This window comes from Homo sapiens, chromosome Y, assembly GCF_000001405.40.
Source record: "Homo sapiens chromosome Y, GRCh38.p14 Primary Assembly".
In the NCBI taxonomy this organism is placed as follows: domain Eukaryota; kingdom Metazoa; phylum Chordata; class Mammalia; order Primates; family Hominidae; genus Homo; species Homo sapiens.
Window position 1 is genome coordinate 2,928,929 of NC_000024.10, and position 15,796 is coordinate 2,944,724.

Genomic DNA, 15,796 nt, shown 5'->3' on the forward strand with positions numbered 1-15,796 from the left:
ACAAACCTTGAAATAGACTTGTCAGATGTAAATATTTCTTTTCTAGGGAAATAGAAGGTAGGCCATCTTACTTTACTGATGCTTGCTCTCTGTGAGGTTTTGATCCTGCTTTGGATTTTTGTTTTGTTGTTGTTGTTATTGTTGTTTTTTTTGAGACAGGATCTTACTCTGTCAGACAAGGCTGAGTGCAGTGACATAATCATGGCTCACTGCAGCCTTAACCTCTTAGACTCAGGTGATTGACCTTCCTCAGCCTCCCAAGTAGCTGAGACTTCAGGTGTGCACCACTATACCTGGCTAATTTTTGTATTTTTTGGTAGAGATGGGATTTTACCAGGGTGATCTTTGGTCAGGGTGGTCTCTAACTCCTGGCCTCAAGTGATATGCCTGTTTCAGCCTCCTAAAGTGTTGGATTACAGGTGTGAGCCACCATACCCAGCCTGGATAATTTTTCTCATCTCTTTTTGTTTCCTCTTTATCATCCATTTCTTCACTTTCTTCATCATAATCATCATCATCTTCAACACTTGCTCCAGTAAAGTGTAACACTGATTTTGGGATTATACACCATTTTCACAGTCTGCAGCAAATACAGCTTCAGCAGCATCATCCAGAACTGCATTCTCAGAACTTCAGGCAGGCAGAAAAAAATTAAAGTCATCAGAAACTGTTTTATTCCCATTAGAAACTGTCCCACATTCCTTGTGTTTCTGCTTCTTAAAGGTTTTTATTCCTTTTTTCCCAGTCCATCTGGCACCCTGTAGAACCCATAATTTCTGGCCTATCAAAAGAAAAATGATGAGAGTCTTCTGATTTTGACTTCATACTATATGTCTTTGTCAACACTTCATTTGTGAAATATTCAGGGTTCAAAGTGAAATTCTAAGACAAAACTCATAGGTTGGCCAGCATCTGAGAACTTCACCTTAACATCTTTGAAGTGCTTCAGAATAGGTTCATCATGTTCCTGAACTATATCATTGAGCAAGTCCAAAATTTAGGAATTCCTTTGGGGTCTTTGTTTTCTTCATCCATTTTTTCATGATCAACCTTGGCCTTTCTTTCAGCTTTGAATTTCAGCTGAAATTTTGTCTTCTTTATCTCCTTTCAATTCACATTTTTCTTCCATAGTTCATAAATTGCATTAATAACATCAAATCACGTATCAAATAGAGGCTGAGAGGGAGTAGCATACTTCCTTTCAGGATCATAAACTTCCTCATGGAATTTGGCCTCTGTCTGTGCACATTTAAGTTGCAGGTTTTTGAGAGCATTGACTCATCTTTAACTACCTTAGGCAATCATTCAATATATCTTGTTGATCTTTCTACCAAACCATCAAGTCTTTCTCTAAAGCCTGTAAGAATCTGAGGATTTTCCATCATCTGAACAAATCTGCTTTGATTTTTTTCTCTTCACCAGTTTCTTTTCTTTTCTTTCTTTTTTTGAAACGGAATCTCACTCTGTTGCCCAGGCTGGAATGCAGTGGCGCAATCTCAGCTCACTGCAACCTCCGCCTCCCAGGTTCAAGCAGTTCTCTGCCTCAGCCCCCCAACTAGCTGGGACTACAGGCATGCACCACCACACCTCATTTTTATATTTTTAGTAGAGACAGGGTTTCACCATGTTGGCCAGGCTGGTCTTGAACTCATGATCCACCTGCCTTGGCCTCCCAAAGACTTGGGATTACAGGCGTGAGCCACCATGCCTGCTCTTTTTCTACTTCTTCAATGCCAGTCAATTTTTTTTTTTTTTTTTTTTGGGCCAGGTCTCATTCTGCTGCCCAAGCTGCAATGCAGTGGCATCATCTTGGCAATTCTGCCTCAGCCTCCCAAGAGGCTGGGATTACAGGCACACATCATTGCACCCAGCTAATTTTTGTATTTTTAGTAGAAGTTGGGGTTTCACCATGTTGGCCAGGCTGGTCTTGAACTTCTGAGCTCAGGTGCTCCACCCACCTTGGCCTCCGAAAGTGCTGGGATTATAGGCATAAGCCACCATGCGCAACTAATTTTAGTATTTTTAGTAGAGATGTAGTTTAGCCATGTTGGCCAGGCTGATCTCAAACTCTAGACCTTAGGTGATCCACCGTCTCGGCTTCTCAAAGTGCTGGGATTACAGGTGTGAGCAAACACACCCAGCCCCAAATCTTGTCCAAGATCAGACTCTTCTTTGTTGTCAATGTCTGCCATGTAAGAACTCCGAATATCTGAAATGCAATCCCTCATTTCTGTTACAGTTCTTTCGGTGGATGAAAATGGCATATTTGTGCATTCTCTGGACATGCTATAACAAGGACACTCCTTGTAACTATTGTTACATATTAACTCAAAAATTCTTTCTCAAAGTGTGGTCTGAGGGTCCTCAGACCCTTACAGGGGAATTTCGAAACTATTTCCAGGCCGGCCGCAGTGGCTCATGCCTGTAATCCCCGCACTTTGGGAGGCTGAGGCGGGTGGATCACGAGCTCAGGAAATCAAGACTATCCTGGCTAACACGGTGAAACCCCATCTCTACTAAAAATACACACACAAAAAATTAGCAGGGCGTGGTGGCAGGCACCTGTAGTTCCAGCTACTCGGGAGGCTGAGGCAGGAGAATGGCATGAACCCGGGAGATGGAGCTTGCAGTGAGCCAACATCGCGCCACGGCACTCCAGCCTGGGTGACAGAGTGAGACCCTGTCTAAAAACAAAAGCAAAAAAAAAGCAAAAACAACAACAACAAAAAACTATTTCCATATAACCATAAATACTGCCTCTTGCATTCTTATTTTTCCACAGGTGTACAGTGGAGTTTTCTGGAGGCTACATGACATGTGATAAGAAAACAGACTGAAAAAGGGAATACATCTATAAAGAGAAAATTGCTATCACTGTTTTTGGTTGGGAAAAACATTTGTATGAGATAAACATGTTATTCTTTTCATAATCAGACATTCTTCTCACAAGTGTTGGTTCTCTACCATTCCTCAAAGGTGATAATTTTTTGAAATATGTTATTGTGGATTCATGATTTTGGATATATCCAATGGGTTTAAGTGCATTGCAATAAAATGGTATTTTGATACTCATCATTAGCCAGTACAAGCCTCTTCAAACTGGATCACAACGTTTTTTGACACACCCTAGTAATGATGTATTTTGCATGTGAGAAATAAGATGCATTTTGAGCGACCAGAGGGTAGAGTATTTTGGGCTGAAATGTGTCCTTCCCCAGATTATAACTCCAAGTACCTCCAACTGTGCCTGCATTTGCAGAGAGGTAATTAAGGTAAAATGAGGTCATATGGGTGAACTCTAATCCAATATGACTAGTGTCCTTACAAGAGAGTCAGACATAGACACAGAGCGAAGATCAGGTGAAGATAGTGATAAGGCTGCCATCACTAAAAGCCAAGTAGAAAGGCCTTGGAATAAATCAAACTTGTCAATACTTTGATCTTGGACTTGGGGCTCTGAAATTGTGAGAAAATGAATTTTCTTTTGGTTAAACCACTCAGTGTGGTATTTTCTTATGGCCTCCATAGCAGCCTAATACACTTAGTTCTATAAAACTTTTTGAGAAGTTTTAGATACGATGTCTTTAAATTTTGGTTCCATAAAGCTTTTTGAGACATTTTAGATAACATGCTTTTACATTTTGGTGTATGAATTAATTCTATACTATTGAAGTGTCTCTGTTTTCTCAAAAACTAGTATAATCTTTTTTTGTAAATTCCTTCTTAGTGATGGGAAGTAAAATTCTTTTTTTTATTTTTCTGCTTCATCTTCTTTTGGAAAAAGATATAAAGACCTTGTACTGTGTCTTGCTTATGCAATTGTAGCTACTTTACGCAATTGTAGCTACTTTATTAAAACCTCGATCTTTGTGAGCTGGTTAGTTACTTTCAAAGCTGAGACACATTAGCAACTGTGAACAACAGGTACATTTTATCAGTAATAAAAGTTTATTTGCTTTGCAGCCAGTTATTTTGTATTCACAATATACTTTTGAAATATTATCTCATCATTGTCCCTATATAAATTTTCCCTCTGTTGTGTTTCTTTGAGAAGGTAAAAAGATGTAAATATAGTTGACTTCATCTGTAGTCATTTATAATCTTTCTTGGACTGTAATAAAGACTTTTCTTATATGACAACTAAAATTAGACCATCCTTTCCTTGTCTCTCACCAAAAGTTAACATTATGAATGAAAAGTAATGTCAAAAGCTGTTTAGTTTATCTGAACTACCTCTGATCTTTCAGATTAGGAAACATCTTTTTTCCTTTATATTCCTTAGCTGTTCTTTCTGAAGTGCTTTATATATTGGTAATTTTTTATAATAATACTAGGATTTTTGATAAGCATGTAAGTATTAACAATAATGTTTACTTTGTTTTTTGTGTTCTGACCATGTTGCTTACAGTTGACATGAGACCCCATTCTTGACATACCATAAGGACATTAAATGAAGGCCTTTGGAAAATATTTGATTTACAGCTGTAATCCCAGTGCTTTGGGAGGCCATGGCTGTTACACTGAACTAGAGAGTTCAAGGCTGAGTGAGCTACGAAGGTGCCACTGCACTCCAGCCTGCGTGGCAGAGCCAGGTACCATCTCTAAAAACTTGAACGTTATCAGTATTTTGAAATTATGTTAATTACATATGAAATTAGGCTAGTTTTTTTTACTGAAAAACATAATGTAAAAATACTTTTCTTTCCTCAAAATACATTGTCTTAACTTGATGAAAATTTCTCAAACAAGATTTTATTTATTTAAATACAAGATCTTGCTCTGTCATAAAGGCTGGAGTGTGGTATCACAATCATAGCCCAAACAAATGGGCTTAAGCCTCCCATAGCTGGGACTACAGGCGTGTTCCACCACACCCAGCACTTTTCAATTTTTTTGTACAGATGGATCGCCCTATTTTCCAGGCTTGTCTCCAACTATCAGTTGAGCACAAGCTGATTTTATCTCAGCCTTCCAAAGTGTTTTGGAATTACAGGGGTGAGCCGCCTCTCATTTATCATTTTTGAAACAAAAGGTAACGACTTGAGAAAACAAGGTCAAACCAATGGTTTGAAAAGAGAATTGCTATCCAGCACTTAACTCATTATATCAACTATGTACCACTGGTTTTCCTTTCGTAAAGCATTTTATGATTTTTAGGTTTCTCAGTTAAGGACAAGATGATTTCTGAGTTTTAAAAATAGGTATGCTAGAAAACTGAAATACCTGGCCTCTACATTTAGAGATTACCGGCTCTGGCCCACAGGCTGCAGTGCAGTGGCTTGATCACAGCTGTCCGCCTGTATCTGCTGGCCTCAAGCGATACTCCAGCCTTGTCCTCCCAAAGCGCTCAGAGGTGAGCGACCGCGATAGGCATGTTTAACTTTTTAGTAGCAACTTTTAAACACAGTTTGGGTACCTAGTTTAATGGGAAATTAGAGTGCATTAAAACGTAAAGTAATGAAAACGCACAATACACGTTTTTGGAGTTCATCAGTACTATCTGTTTAATCAAATGCATTTTCCTCTCAGTCTCTAAAGCCTTTTTAAACTTTAAGAGGATAAATAATTTTGTAAGAAGACAATCCCAAAACCAATTGTTAGTTTACATTTATTAAAGGGTGTGCATAATTCATTGTTCATGAGACAATTACACAAAACTGACATTTCAAGGATGCCAAAAGATGAAACACTGCCATAAAGAACACACACTAGACATTACAAATCTTGGTCAAAATACCTACGTTAACGCAAAAAAAAAAATCAATTGGCTCAGTAATTGATTAGGATAATCCTCCCCTCCTCTTGCCTGTACACTGTGGCAAGTCCATTTACTTTCTTTTTTTTTTTTTTTAAAGCCAACAAAGGAGACAGTGGGGAATGCTATATGTCTGTATCTGCTTTCCTCCTCAACCCTAGGAATAAAGTAAACACGTTTACTGAGGGCGGGGGTCTAAGGGCCTGCAACAATGAGATCTGTCGCCTTGGCTAGGACTGGCGCCGAGAGGCGATAGGTCTCGGGAGAGCCTGGCGCAGGGTGTGGGAGATTAGGAATCCCAGGTCCACCGGAGATGGCAGGGGGTGGCCTGGCCCGGTGCGGGGCCGCTTGCCTGCACGCAACCAACTAAGGCGGTGGTGCGCAAGTAGTGGTGACGGCGGGCGCGCGGAGAAAAGGAACGTTGTGACGGAAACTCCAGCTGCCGGAGACCCCACCGCAGTGAGGTCACTGGACTCCCCGGACTCGGGGCGTGACCGGCGCCGACCCGGGGCGCCGAGAGGCCCACCGGGCGGAGGGGGCCCAACTACCATCCCGCATTTTCCTGGGTCTCTCTCCCGGGCGGTGACGTGACGTGCTGACGGCGGGCCCGTGCCGGGGAGCTGGGCCGCTTTTTGTCAGCTCCGAACTCGGCCCCTCCTCCCTCCCTCCGCCCGCCCTACCAGCCGGAGCCCGGCCCAGTGCTCCAGAGAAAGGCCGTCCTGCAGCACCCGCCGCTGTCGCCGACCGCCCGCACATCCGTCGGGTGAGTCCCGCGTGCCCCCGCGGCCGCGGGGCCTAGTGCGCGCGCAGTAACCTGTTTGTGGCCTGGTCGGCGTCCCGTAGGGCGCCCTCCCGCGCTAGGCCGGCCGGCGTGGCGCTCGGCGCCGAACAGGCCCCGAGGAGGCCGCAGTTAGGCCTAGTGATTATCCAGTTGCCCTGAGCGGCTGCGGAGGTGCGCTCCATAAGCGGGCAGGGTGGGAAAAGTTCGCCCGTTTGTCCGGAAGGCAGTTGATGGACCTGGGGTCGACACCACTGCGGACGCAGGGCACGGCACGGGGGCGAGAAGGCGAAGGCTGCAGGCGTGAGGTGAAGGCCGGAGGCCTGCTGGGCCTATTTTCGCTATGTAAATGTCCGCGAAGGGGAGGAGGGACGGGGGGGCAAGATGGCGGCTGCTAGGCGCCTGCTGCTGGGGAGTATTGAGAGTGTTGTCGGGAGGCGGAGCCGCCATCTTGAAGGCGGTATCTGGAAAAAAAATTCGGTTATGATCCTTGAGGCGGGGATGGGGAAAAGGACGGCGGCGGCGGCGGCAGCGCAGCCTCCGGCGCGACGGCGTGTCTGCGCAACAGGGCGTGCTCGTTCCCTTGGCGGCCCTTGCCTTTGTCGCCATATGCGCGCGTACGTTCCAGACGCCTGCGGCAGCGCCACCTTTCGGCCTTCCCCTCACAGCCCATCCTTGGCTGGGTGCAGTGTCGGCTACGCTTTAGGTGACATGCCGCAGGCGTCCGTTCGGGCGCCGGGGTCATTTCGCCCCTCAGCGCTCCCGGCTCTGTGCCCTTCCGAGAGTCTACAGCCACCCGTTTCAGCAGGTGGCAATTCGGGCATCTAGGCTCACGAGAGCACATAAATTCCAGAAAATTTTATTTTCCCCTAATTAAAGTCATTATGTGGCTGTTCGGGGACCTTCGATGCGCTTATTTTTCAACCATCATTGCCTCTTCGAGGATCTGCAAAATAGAACTGGAATTTATTATGAAAAAGTTATTAGGCACTCGTCCAATAGACAGTACAGTACAAATTATACAGCACGAGGGCAGAGGAATAAAATTTCCCCAAGGCGACTTTTCCCATTTATGTGGAAACACTTTTTTGATGAGCTGTATTTAAACGAGCGAGCTTTTTTTTAGTCCGTGTACTTTTTTTGAGTAAGAGATGGAAAATAGGCAGAAGAGGTATTTTTCTTTTTGAAAGACAATTCATGCATTACTTGTAGGTTCATATACCCATGATGACATTGAGATTTTATTTGAAATTTCTTATACAGTTTCATCTTCAAAATACTTTTGTTAGCATTTTGTACAACTTTGCTGGAAAATTGGAGCACAGTAATGTGAGCGTTGGACAGTGCTAGGTGCTAAGAAAGATTTAAAAGGCTCTTAATGCAGAACGTGACTGCAAAAAGTTTGCTGCGGGCATTTCACAGGAAGGCGAGGTTTCAGTTTGCAAAATTGGGAATCCTGAAGTAGATGGGGTTTAGCTAGGGTGAGGAATGGGAGTAGGAGAGGTCATTACAAGAATGAAATGTCTGTAGAAGATGCAAATATTTACGGTTTTGCTGGAGTGGATAATATAGATAGGAAAGGGATTCAAATTTAGGCTGTAAAAAGTAGATTTTGAAATACATTGGTGGCACACCTCAGTTTATGCTGAGCTCTGGCTGCAGCTGTTACAAAAGTTTAAAGGTTGAGAAGGATTGAGAGCTAGTATAAATTGATAAGTGTTTTCGTTACTGGATGGATGATCAAGAAGGTAGCTGTTTTTTGGCCAGGTGCGGTGACTCACGCCTGTAATCCCACCACTTTGGGAGGCCGAAGTGCGCGGATCACCCGAGGTCAGGAGTTCGAATCCAGCTCGAGACCAGCTGGAGACCGACATAGCGAAACCCCGTCTCTACTAAAAATACAAAAAAACTAGCAAGGCATGACGGCGCGCGCCTGTAATCCCAGGTACTTTGAAGGCGGAGGTTGCAGTGAGTCGATATCGTACCACTGCACTCCAGCCTGGGGAACAAGAGTGAGAGTCTGTCTCAAAAAAAAAAAAAAAAAAAAAAGAATGTGGCTATTTTTTGAATTAGTCTCTACTAGACTGCTGCTTCGTTTTTGCATCGAAAGTTTACCAAATAATCTTTTGCTCCTATTTAAAATTGTAAGCAAAATTGTATTTACTGTGGTTGAAAATTACAAAAGTACAGGAAATCAGTTTGAGAGGTATGTTTAGAAAAGCAGTTTTCAGAAATGCAGTAGCCTTCAGGTGGCTTTATGAAACTTTGCCCTTCTTCTTGGTGAAGGTAAGCAAGCTTTAAAATTCGCTGTTCACTTTATATGTGAGGGTCCTAGATGCAGTAGTTTCAGAGAACATGTATAGCAGCACTTGCTTCCTAGACTTTTACTAAATAAAACGCAGGTTTTGAGTCTTCCCAGACTGCAGCAGATCACAACGCTGATGATTCAAAGAAGTCTGAAGGGAACTAGAGATTGCTGTTTTACAAAAGTGTCTGGCAGTATATTGCAGGAGGTAGTCAAAGCAACATTTTTTTTTTTTTTTTGAGGCAGAGTCTCGCTCTGTCGCCCAGGCTGGAGTGCAGTGGCGCGATCTCGGCTCACTGCAAGCTCCGCCTCCCGGGTTCACGCCTTTCTCCTGCCTCAGCCTTCCAAGTAGCTGGGACTACAGGCGCCCGCCACCACGCCGGGCTAATTTTTTTTTTTTTTTTTTTTTTTTTTTTTTTTTTTTAGTAGAAACGGGATTTCACGGTGTTAGCCAGGATGGTCTCCATCTCCTAACCTCGTGATGTACCCGCCTCGGCCTACCAAAGTGCTGGGATTACAGGCGTGAGCCACCGCGCCCGGCCGTCAAAACAAATTTTTAATGCAATCTAGTTGTCGACTTGCTAAGGGGTCAGCATAAACTGTAGAGGTAGTTGCCTTATATCTTGACAGCTGAAGAGCTGTAAAGAAGATAGAACTGTATCTTGTACAGTACAGCAGCTGTAGATGTTCCAGTACATCAGCAGTGGATGTGCAAAAAGAACATAGGCAAGTGTATAGTTTTAAAGGATTTATAAGGAAATTGTTAAGTATAAAATATTTTTTTGCCTGATAGGATAGACCTTGATGATCTGCTAGCCAATTTCTTTTTTTTGAGACGGAGTCTTGTTCTGTCACCTGACTGGTGTGCATTGTTGCTGTCAGCTCACTGCCACCTCCGCCTCCTGGGTTCAAGCGATTCTCCTGCCTCAGCCTTCCAAGTAGCTGGGACTACAGGTGTGTGCCACCATACCCAGGTAATTTTTCTAGTTTTCGTAGAAATGGGGTTTCGCCATGTTGGTCAGGCTGGTCTCGACCTCCTGACCTCAGATGATCCATCCACCTTGGCCTCCTAAAGTGCTGGGATTACAGGCGTGAACCACGGTGCCCGACCTCTGGTAGCCAATTATCTTGGATGAATGAGTTGTTAGTTTTTAATTTATGTGTATTTATATTCAAATAGATGCCCCTTAACTTTCTTTCAAAAAGCATACAGTGCTTATATATATATATATATATATATATATATATATATATATAAATAAATAACTCTGTTTACATTTGTATTGTCACTAATTGATATCCTTTGAATTGTTGCATTTATGCATTCTGGCAATTGCAAACCTTTTTAGATTCTTAAATTCTTCAACCCCTGCATATTACTTCATTACTTAATTGAGAAAGATAGATGACTATATGATACATATGTTTGATCTCATTCATTTCATGCTTTTTCTTTATTTCTTCCTACACTTTCTTTTGCCGATGGAAGAAGTGCTGCTTTCAACGTCCATTTTCTCTGCTTACCCTTTTCCCTGCTCTCTGCCTGCCCCTTCCTATAAATATTCATAGGTATGCTCGTTTTACAAAAACCTTATCTGTTTTCTCTTTAGTTTCACTAGTCCTTCTATTTCTATTCTTCCCGCTTCTAAATCTGGTATTACTCAACGTGTGAAACGGTTCCACAGCAGGTAATTGGTGTGTCACATGAAAGTGTACTGCATTTCAGAAACTCTCTGTGCTTTCTTTGTCTGCTCTGGTCGTTTTCCTAACCTAAATGTGGAATTTAACTTGAGATTAATTACTTGTTTTCTCCAAACTTCTTCCCTGCATCACTGTCTCTTATTTTCACTCATCAAATTTGTCATCTAGCATTTACAGTTATCTACTGAACATCTCCATCCTGATCTCTTATTAACAGTCCATATTTAATATTGCTGAAACCAAATTTATCTGGCACATAGTAGGTACCCAGTAATGTGCAGTGAACCTCTTTTACTCTACAGTCCCTAAAATAATTCCTGATTTTGCTTTCTTTCTTTTCCAAACACTACTGTTTTACCAGGCTTTCTTTCATCCCGGTCACTTAGAGCAGTGTAGATATCTTTAATTAACATTTAATCTGTTGTATTCTAAATGTAGGTTTATACTTTTTGTTTTCATCCGTAACTTTCGAAGCCCTTAATTATAGTAGATAGTTTTTTATCTTGATTTGCTCCCCTAACAGAATGATTTGGCAGGTAAACATTATTCCAAAAAAAATTATTTGAATAATTTAATGCAGAGATTTATATGGAGTTGAATAGCCCTCCAATTGAAATTAAGGAGCCAAATAGTGTTCTTGAATTGTGTAAGTGTTAAGGCATACAGTGTTCATTTTTTGAAGGCAGCAGATGAAAACAGGATTCTCAGGAACATGTTTCCACCATTGCTTTCACAATCTACCTTGACTGAGAGCCCATTCTTTTTCTTACTAAATTGTTTTAAACGTAGTATTTTCATAAATACGGCTTTCTTATTTAGCTATAAAATGAAATAAAGGAGAGTTACTAGATTATAACCAAATCCTGCTTTATTGAAAGAGGAATTTGAATCTAGGCGAGGCACAAAGGAATCTACGTCAATGGCTTTAAAAAATTAACATAGTTAATATATTAAACATGTAAATTATAAAATCTTCTGTCCTTAGTAAGCAAGTACAAATCTGTTGTATCAGATTGTAACCTGTTGTAACAGATTGTAACAAATGTTACAGTCTTTCATACTTGTTTCATGTCTTTTTCTATTTAAAGAAATGGAATTCTGCAGGTCATTTTTAAGAGTTGCCTTCAGTGCTTCCCAATCCTGCTTCTTTTTCCCCAGACTGGTTTCCTTGTATATGTTTTAACTTTAGAAAGGTATCTTATAGTATGTGTCATTTTGTGTATTTTTTATCACTCAACAGTGAGTTTTTGAGTTTCTTTCATGTTACCTGTGGATCTGATATTTTAGTTAGCAAAAGTTGGTCTAGGAACCCATGGGGATCTTTGACACCTTTTCAGATGTCTGTGAGAGGACAACAATTTTTAAAAAATTACCGAGAAGTTATTTACCTTTTTTACTCTTATTATCCCATGAATGTAGTGTGTGGTAGAGTTTTCATGAGTTTCAGATGTTTCAGAAAGTTGAATGCAGAAGCAGAGGAATCCACCTGTTTTATTTAAGCCAGGTATTAAAAAGATTAACATAAAAAATTTGTATTGTGGAAAGTGCTTTTAATACAGTGTTATTTATTTTAATATTAATGGTTTATTAGTTGTAAGTGAATAAACATAAACTTTTCATAAAATTACTAGGCATTAACTTTTAAAATGGCATATATTGATAATAAAACCTGCTTAAACAAAAGCTCTTTGAGGACTCTCAAATTTTTTAATTGTAAAGGAGTCCTAAGGTGAAAACGTTTGGGAAATCATTAATCTGAATTTATTTATATTCTATTATAGTTTATAAATGTACTGTGGCCTGTTTATTCATTACTAGGAACCAGTTAGATTTCCAGTCTTTTGCAATTTTGAAACAATGTGGCTGTAACATCTTTGTACATGATTAACTTCTTTTGGGTTTAAGTGGAATTGGTAATCTGAAGTGTATGTGCATTGTCAACTTTACTGGAATTACCAAATTCTTTCCACATTGGTTGTATCTAGTTGATACTAAGTTTTCTATTAGACTGTTTCTCCATATCATTACCAAATTTTTTTTTTTTTTTTTTGAGAGAAGAGTCTCATTCTGTTGCCCAGACTGGAGTACAGTGGTGCAGTCTTGGCTCACTGCAGCCTTTGCCTCCTGGGTTCAAGCAGTTCTTGTGCATCAGCCTCTGGAATAGCTGGGACTACAGGCACGTGCCACCACACCTGGCTTATTTATTTATTTATTTAGTAAAGGCAGGGTTTTGTCATGCTGGCCAGGCTGGTCTTGAACTCTTGACTTCGGGTGAGCTGTCCATCTTGGCCTCACGAAGTGCTGGCATTTCAGGCATGAGCCACCATACCTGGCCCCAAAGATTTGACAGTTTAATTTCTTTCAGGGTTTTGGAGATGGAATAATACCCAGTTGTTTTAATTTTGCATTTATCATATTTTTAGTGAGGTTGAGCTTCCCCGCTTGCCCACCCTCCGCCAATATAAACTGTGTGTGTGTGTGTGTGTGTGTGTGTGTATATCTCTGTTTCCTGTGCTGGAGTGTGGTGGAGTGGTCACAATTCATTTCACCATGTTGGCAAGGCTAGTCTTGAACTCTTGGCCTCAAATGACCAGGCTATGTCAGCCTCCCAAAGTGCTGGGATTACAGGTATAAGCCACCGTGCCTGAGCCTAACTTTTGTATTTTTTGTAGAGATAGGGGTGTCACTATGTTGCTCAGGCTGGTCTTGAAATCCTGAGCTCAAGCGATCCTCCCACCTTGGCCTCCAAAATTTTTGGGATTACTGGTGTGAGCCAATGTGCCTGGCTAATTTTTCTTTCCTTTTTTTTGGTTATTTTTATTTTTTAAATATGGAACTTCACAAATTTGCAATTTGCATTTTTTTTTTTTTTTTTTTTTTTGAGACGGGGCCTCTCTGCTGTTATCTAGGCTGTAGTGCCAGGGCTATTTTTTTTTTTTTTTAATTTTTTTTTGAGACAGGGTCTCACTTCTGTTACCCAGGCTGGAGTGCAGTGCCTGATCATGGCTCAATGCAGCCTTGACTTCCCGGGCTCACATGATCCTTCCACCTCAGCCTCCCCAGTAGCTGGGGCTGCAGGTGCACACCACCATTCCTGCGTAAATTTTTCTTTTTTTTTTCTTTTTTTGTTTACTTTTTGGTAGAGGCAGTTTTTCACTATGTTACCCAAGCTGGCCTTGAACTCTTGGGTCCAGGTGATCCTCCTGTCTCAGCCTCCAAAAGTCTTGGGATTACAGACATGAACCATGGCCCCCAGCTGTGCCACATTTTCTTTCTCCATTCATTTATTGATGGACACATAGGTTGTTTCCATATCTTTGCAACAGTGAATAGCTCTATGATAAATATAGTTCTTTGAGAAATCTCTTTACAGTTTTCCACTGGGGTTATACTAACATACTATACCTACAATATATTAATATTGCTTTTTATAGAGATCTTGGAAAATTTTGGATAACTATACCAAGATGTTGTGTGACTTTTGTTGCCATTATGAATAACAATTTCAAAAAGTTATACTTACCAGTTGTTGTAATTTATAATAGAAATCCTATTGACTTTCAGCAACCTTGCTGAAAATTCCGTGATCATATTTCATAGCTTCTGAGATGTATAAATCTTCATATTTTAGCACTTCTAAAATCTGAATGTATTTTACCATGGATAGAGTTGTATAATCAGTTTTCCAATTTATAAGTTGTTCATTTTGTTATCACTTCAAATGAATTGCATCCATTTTTGGCACTAATCAGGTTGCTGATACATGCCAAACAGTGTAACTGTAAATAAAATAAATTTCCTTTGGATAAATTGAAGCAATTTTTATTTATTTATTTAAAGAAGCAGTCTCGCTCTGTTGCCCAGGCTGGAGTACAGTGGCGTGATCTCAGCTCACTGCAATGTCCGCTTCCTGGATTCAAGCAATTCTCCTGCCTCAGCTTCCTGAATGGTTGAGATTACAGGCGTGTACCACCATGCTTGGCTAATTATATATATTTTATATATTTTTAGTAGAGATGTCGTTTCACCAGGCTGGTTTCGAACTCCTGACCTCGTGATCTGCCTGCCTCAGCCTCTCAAAGGCTCAGCCGGGATTACAGGCATGAGCCACTGTGCCTGGCTGAAGGAAATGGCCAGAGGCAGGTTTGATTGGCCCTTGGTTCAGTCAGAGGTTAATTGGTCATAGGTTGAGTACAAATGCGTTGTAATGTGTTTATTATATATTTTCTAATTTTGGAGAGCAGTTCCTTACCATAAATTAGCGTGGTTCAATTGAGGGGAAATGATGAAACAGACTTGTCAAATGGTAAAGTACTAGCATTAGAACTTGGAAAGTAGATGTCTTTGACTTGAAAGAATATTCTAGAGATGATAATTTAGTATGCTTCATCGTTGGCACTGTTGTTATCAAGATGACTCTATTGTTAGAAAGATAAGGACATTGAACAGCAGTGAATAGAAAAGTGAGTAAAAGTAGCACTCTGAATTCAAATAAATTTTATCAATACCCTGAGCCAATTTCCTTTGGATGTTATTGTTCTTTCTATGTATGCATAAGAGTGGTGTATGATTTTTAAAAACTGTGTGAATAAATCTAAAAGAACTCCAGTATATCAATTTACTTGAATGTTTTTTCTTAGTGGTATATAAAGGCTCATGCTACAATTGTGAGCATGTAGACATAGTGAGATTTAGCAGTAATAACGATTTTTTTTGCATTTTTTGTACAATTATATTATCTGTGAAGAGTGATGTTAGATTTCTTTTCTGGTGGTCTAGATTTTTTGAAAGAAGTGCTTCCAGTGTTTTATCCTTAAATACTGATGTTAAGATGTTTTCTTGGGAAGATATTCTTTAAGCTTCCTTCCATTCACAATTTTAGAGTTTTTTTTTTTTAATATAAAGGAGGAGTTGAATTTTTAAGATAACTTTGGTTGCATCTGTTGATTTTCTCCTTTAATTTATTAATGTGCTTAATTGCGTTAACAGAGTTTCTAACTTTAAACGTTCTTTGAATCACCTGGATGTTTAATATTTACATTGCCTTATTGTAGTCCTATCTGCACAGTCTCATAGATGCTAATAAAATAGAAACAAAATTACAGTCCTGTAATTTTTTTTCTTTCACAGTTTGATAAGGTTATGTTAAACTCACGTAATGAGGGTTTCTCTCTTTCTGGACACAGGTTGCCTATTAAAAAGGGATTCATTGTTTCTTTGAACTTAGAATTTCTTTGTATATTTACTTGTACGTGGA

General features: G+C 40.5%; 1 protein-coding gene and 1 pseudogene across 13 annotated transcripts in view; one reads left to right on the top strand and one right to left on the bottom strand.

Moving 5' to 3' along the window:
• NAP1L1P2 (nucleosome assembly protein 1 like 1 pseudogene 2) lies at nt 479-1,442 on the bottom strand (annotated as a pseudogene).
• ZFY (zinc finger protein Y-linked) overlaps nt 6,453-15,796 on the top strand; it is a 47,126-nt gene continuing 37,782 nt past the window's right edge. For 6 of the 13 annotated variants that reach the window (NM_001369702.1, NM_001369707.1, NM_001145276.2 and 3 more), the window contains exon 1: nt 6,453-6,518. The gene's annotated coding sequence lies outside the window, so the exon portion shown is untranslated. Of the gene's footprint in view, nt 6,842-15,796 lie in introns of all 13 variants that reach the window. The other 7 variants (NM_003411.4, NM_001369706.1, NM_001369703.1 and 4 more) reach the window with 2 other exon arrangements.